This window comes from Homo sapiens, chromosome 1 (assembly GCF_000001405.40).
Source record: "Homo sapiens chromosome 1, GRCh38.p14 Primary Assembly".
Taxonomy (NCBI): domain Eukaryota; kingdom Metazoa; phylum Chordata; class Mammalia; order Primates; family Hominidae; genus Homo; species Homo sapiens.
Genome location: NC_000001.11, coordinates 105025103 through 105031216, shown reverse-complemented (window position 1 = coordinate 105031216; position 6114 = coordinate 105025103). Strand labels below are relative to the sequence as shown.

At 36.6% G+C, this 6114-nt stretch overlaps 1 annotated feature.

The window, feature by feature from the left end:
• Positions 3723 to 3923: a silencer, noted in NCBI's record as "peak344 fragment used in MPRA reporter construct". NCBI's record gives its function as "represses an SCP1 promoter by STARR-seq MPRAs in K562 erythroleukemia cells {active_cell/tissue: K562}" and the evidence as "EXISTENCE:reporter gene assay evidence [ECO:0000049][PMID:32103011]".

Sequence of the window (6114 nt, the reverse complement as noted above, 5' to 3'; positions counted from 1 at the left end):
CACTTTTATTTGAGTTATTACATCGTGTTTATTCTGTGTTTTCATTGATTGTGTTTTGATTGTGTTCAGGTTTAAATCTATCATCTTACTATTTCTTTTCTGCGTGCAACATTTTTGCCTTATTGAGATTATTTGAATATTTATTTTATTATTTTTGTATGGCCACTATAACATATAAAAACAAATAGTGGCTTAAAACAGAACAAATTCATTATATGACAGTTATGAAGGTTAGTAGTTGAAATTGAGTAGCAGTTGGCTAAAATGAAAGTGCTACCATAGCTGCGTTCCTTTCTGGAATGTCTTAGAAGCCATTTTCTTGACTTTTTTTTTAACTTCTAAAGTCTTCCCTCAGTTTTTGGCTCATGACCCCTTCCATCTTCAAAGCCACAAATAGTCGATTCTTTCTCACATCATATCACTCTGGCTGGCATTGACTTGCTGCTGCTTCTCTCTTCCATATTTACGGACCATAATAACTGCAATGGGACACCCAGATATCTAGAATAATTGCCCTGTCTTAAGGTCAAGTGATTAGCAATCTTGATTCTATATGACACTTTAATTTTCCTCCATCGTGTAACATAACATATTCACGACTTCCCGAGTTTAGGACATGGGCAGCTTAAAAAGGATATTACTTGGCCTACCACAGATTCCATAGCTTCTTATTTTTGGCTTATGCTCTAAACCTATTTGTTTTGTTATAAAGTCATAATCTTGGATTTATAGTGTATATATTTAACTTGCAGTTCACCATCAAGTGATATATATCACTACATAGAGATTATAATAAACTTATAATAACAGAATTCAATTTACCCCTTTGGGACCTTTGTATAACTGTTGATATCCATATATTTACCATTTAATTTTTATTTTTATATTTGTTAAAAACCTCACCTACATTGTTATATTTTGTTTAAACTTTCAATTTTTTTATTTTTAATTTCTGTGAATACATAGTAGGCATATATATTTATGAGATACATGAAATATTTTCATACAGGCATACAAATAATTTTTATTTGTATAAAAATAAATAAATAAAATAATAAATAAATAAATAAAAATTTTTATTTGTATAATTATCTCCCACAATAAGTGAGAACATGTGCAGTTTGCCTTTCTGTGCCTGGCTTATATTATTTCACATAATGTCCTCCAGTTCCAACCATTATGTTGCAAATAACAGGAGCTCATTCATTTTTATGCCTGAATAGTTCTCCATTGTGTATCATATCTTTTGATTGGAGAGTTTAGTTCATTAATTTTAAATGTTATTATTGATAAGTAAAGACTTACTTCTGCTATTTTGTTTGTTATTTGTTTTCTGTTTGTTTTGTGATTTTCTCCTCCTTCTTTCCTTCCTTCTCGCCCTCCTTTTAGTGAAGGTGATTTTCTCTGGTGGTATGTTTTAATTTCTGTTTTTTTTTTAATTTTTTTTTGTGTGTATCTGTTGTATATTTTTTGATTTGAGGTAACCATGAAGCTTGCAAATAATATCTTATAACTCATTTTCTTAAACTGATGAAAACTTAACACTGATTGCATAAACACACAAGCAAGCAAAGAGAAAACTAATAAAAACTCTACTCTTTAACTTCTTCCCCTTAACTTGATTTAACCTTTTGTTGTTGCTATTTATATCTTATTGTATTGTCTATGTCTTAAAAAGTTGTTGTAGTTATTATGTTTTATTGGCTATCTTGCTGTCTTTCTACTCAAAAAAATAAGCAGTTTACACAACACTTTTCCAATATTATAAAATTCTGTGTTTTTCTGTGTACTTACTATTACCAGCGATTTTTATACCTTCTGATAATTTATTAGGCTCATTAATGTCTTTTTCTTTCAATTTGAAAAACTCCATTTAGCATTTCTTGTAGGACAGGACTGGGGTTGATAACATCTCTCAGCTTTTGTTTGTGTGGAAAAGTGTTTATTTCTTCTTTATGTTTGAAGTATATTTTCACCAGATATAATAGTCTAGCATAAAAGTTTTTTTTTTCTTTAGCACTTTATGTCATCCCAATGTTTCCTCATCTGTAAGTTTTCCACCGAAAAGTCTAGTGCCAAATGTATTGAGCTCCCTTGTATTTTTTTAAAATTTATCTTGCTATTTGTAGGATCGTTTCTTTATTCTTGAAATGTGGGAGTTTGATTATTGAATGTCTTGAGACAGTCTTCTTCAGGTTGAATCTGCTTGGTGTTCTATAACCTTCTGGTATCTGTATATTGACATCATTCTCTAGGTTTGGGAAGTCTTTGTTATTATTCCTTTGAATAAACTTTCTACTGTATCTCTTTCTACCTCCTCTTTAAGGCCAATAACTTATATTTGCCCTTTTGATGCTATTTTCTAGATCTTATGGGCATGATTCGTTCTTTCTTATGCTTTTTTTTTTCTGTCTCGTCTTACTGTGTATTTTAAAACGGCCTATCTTTAAGTCCTCTAATTCTTTCTTCTGCCTAATCCATTCTATTTTTAAGTGACTCATGTATTCTTCCCTATGTCAACTGCATTTTTTATCTCCAGAATTTCTGCTTGATTCTTCTTAATTATCTCAATCTCTTGTTTAAATTTATCTGATAGTATTATGAATTCTCTCTCTCTGTTATTCCAAACTTCATTGAGCTTCCTCAAGACAGCTATATCAAATTCTTTGTCTGAAAAGTCACATATCTCTGTTTCTCTAGGATTGTTCCCTGATAAATTATTACATTTATTTAGTAAGGTCATGTTTTCCTGGATAGTCTTGAAGTTTTTGGAGGTTTATTTGTGACTGGAATTTGAAGAGTTATGTATTTATTGTAGTCTTTGAAATCTGAGCCCATTTGTACCCATCCTTCTTGGGAAGGCATTATAAGTTTTCTAAGGGACTTGGGTGTTGTGATCTAAGTTTTTGGTCATGCAGCCATATCTGCATTAGGGGGCACCCCAAGCCCATTAATGCTATTGCTCATAGAGGTACTGCCTTGGTGGTCTTGGATAAGATTCAGAGGAACTCTCTCGATTACCAGACAGAGACTTTTGATCTCTTCATCACATAGAGTCTTTCTCTATGTGCTGAGCTCCCTGAATCTGGGGAAGTGGTGACAGTGGTCCCCTGTAGCTACCACCACTGGGACTGCACTGAGTCAAAGTGGAAGCCAGCACAGCTCTGGGTCTTGCTCAAGGCCCGCAGTAACCACTGCCTGGCTACTGCTTATGTTCCCTCAAGGCCCTGGGGCTCTACAATCAGCAGTCAATGAAGTCATCCCCACTTGTGTCCTTCACTTCAGGGTAACATGTTCTCTCCAGATTCAGGAAGGTCCAGAGTTGCCATTCAAAAGCCAGGGCCTGGAGTCAGAAATCTTAGGAATCTACGTAGAGCTTAATTCAACTGTAGCTGAGCTGGCACTCAACCATAAGACAAAGTTCTCATTCTTCCCTCCCTTTTCCACAAGCAGAAGAGTCTATTCCCAAAGACACCACTGTCCCAGGCCTGTGGCAAGTAGTGCCAGGCTACCACTGAGCTTTACTCAAGGACCAAGTACTCCTCAGTCAGATTGTGGTGAATGCTACCAGGCCTGGGACTTTCTCTTCAAAGTAATGGGCTCCCCTTTGGCCCAGTCCAGGTACAGAAATGCCATCTAAGAGCCAAGGCCTGGAATGCAAGACCCCAAGAGCCTGCTTGTTGCTCTACCCCAATGTGGCCAAGCTGGTACCTAAGCTGCAAAACAAAGTCCCCTTTTCTGTTCTTTCTCTTTTTCTGAAAAAGAAGGAGTCTCTCCCTGTAGCCACCATACCTGGTAATGTGCTGAGTCACACCTGAAGCCAGCACTTCTCTGAGTCTCATTCAAGTCCCATGAGAAGTAATGCCTAGTTACCACTACTGATTATTTGGGGCCCAAAAACTGATTATTTGGGGCCCAAAAGCTTTTTACTTGGCAGGTGATGAATCCTGCCAGAACTTAGCCTTTCCTTTCGAAGCAGTGGGTTCCCTTCTGGCCCAGGATGTGTAGAGAAATGTTTTTCAGGAGATAAGGCTTGGAATGGGGATCTCAGGTCTCCGGTGCCCTATCCCACTGTGGCTGAGTTAGTATCTAAATTGCCATACAAAGTCCTTTTTAGTCTTCCTTCACTTTTTCTCAAGCTGAAGGAAGGTCTCTCCCAAAGCTGTGAGTTGCTGCCTGGGGTTGTGGGAGGGGTGACACAAGCACTCCCTTTGCTACCCCAGCTGGTGTGTCACCAAGTCACATGTCCTCCAAGTCCACTGGCTGTAAGCCCAGCACAGCACCAACTATTGCCCCCAAACTGCTGTCTCTTTCAAAGTTATCTAGGACTCCAGAGCAATTTAGCTCTTTTGATAAGCCTTGCCAGAACTCAGGTTCTGACCGCTGGAATGGGCAATTTCCCTCTGGCTAAGTCTGGTCTAAATGTTCCTTCTGTAAGTGCCAGTTGATTTCTACCCAGTGTTGCTTTCTGCTGTGACAGGGCAGCACTGAGTTGCAATGCAAAGCTCCACAGTCACTAGGCTCTCCTTCCCCCAAGAAAACAGATTCTCTCTCCATGCCATGCAGCTGCTGCCAGAGAATGAAGGATGGTGTTAGCATTTCAAGACTGTCTTTTCTGCCCTCTTCCGTTCTGCTTTCAGTGATATGAAGTTAAAACCAGGTACTGTGATTGTTCACCTGATTTTTGGTTTTTATGAAAGTGCTTTTTCTGTGTAGATAGTTGTTCGATTGGATGTGCGTGTGGATAGGGCAATTAAGGAGGGCTTCTGTTCAGCCAGCTTGCTCGAACTTCTTCTCTATTTTTTTAAAGTGATGTAAATAATGAGAAGAATTTGTCTGTGCAAATTTATATATCCATCTGGTAAAATTTTATTATTGCCTGAAAAACTTCCTTCAACGTATCATGTAGAGTGGATCTACTGGTAAGTTATTTAAGCTTTTGTCTGCATGGAAAGATTTTTACTTTGCCTTCATTTTCAAAAGATATTTTACCAATTATGGAATTCTGGATGGAGAATTGTTTTGCATGCTTTTTTTGTTTGTTTTCTTTCAGTACTTGGGAAATGTTGCCCAACTCTCTTCAGACTTGCATTGTTTAAGATATTTGTTCCTCTGTCCATACCATGCCTTTTTGTTTTGACTGATTTCAAGATTTTGTTTTAATCATTGGTTTTCAATGATTTCATTATGACGTTCTTTGGTGTAGCTTTGTTTATAATTCTTGTGCTTGGAGTTTGTCGAGTTTCTTGGATCTTGTGAATGGCACTTTTATTCAAACTTGTAAACATTCTGGCCCATGTTAGATATTTCTTGTTTACTGTTCTTCCTTCTTTTCATCTTTCATCTTCTATGAATTCTATTTGCGTATGTATTAGGCAGCTTGAATTTGTCTCACCATTCACTGGTGCTCTGCGTATGTATTCTATAATTCTACTTATTCTCTGTTTATAGATAGATAGATTTTTTTTCTATTGCTATATTTTCAAGTTTACTAATATTTTCCTCTGCGAAGTGTAATTTCCATTCTGCATTTTTTTTCAGCATTATATTTTACACTTCTACAACTCTGACTTAAAATATATCTTTCATATCTCCACCTAAATTTTGAGTATGGAGAAAACATTTATGGGGGGGAAGGAATGCCTATGATTATGATAGCTTTTTAGATATCCCTGTATAGCAGTTATACCGTTTGTGCCACTTTTGAGTGTCTTTCAAGTTGTTTGTTGTTCTCCTTATTAGTTATTTCTATTTTTTGCATGCATAGTAATTTTTGCTTAGCTACCAAGCAGTTTTTTTTATCTTGTTGAGTACTGGATATTTACATATTTCTATAAATATTGGCTTGCAATCTAGTTTAACTACTTAGAAAATGCTTACTGGGAAGGGGAGTCCCGTTTGTAAGAACTGTTTGATAGGAGTAGTGAAGTGTTTCGTCCAAGATTAATTATACCCCACTACTGACTCAAGACCTTCTGAATACCCTACCCAATGCCCTGTGAATTATGAGAAATTCACTGTGGCTTCTGAGAACAGACACTATTTTTGGCCATGTGTTGGTACCTAATCTATTCAGGTGGTTGTTATTCTGACCTAGGATGTTTTCCTTACAGG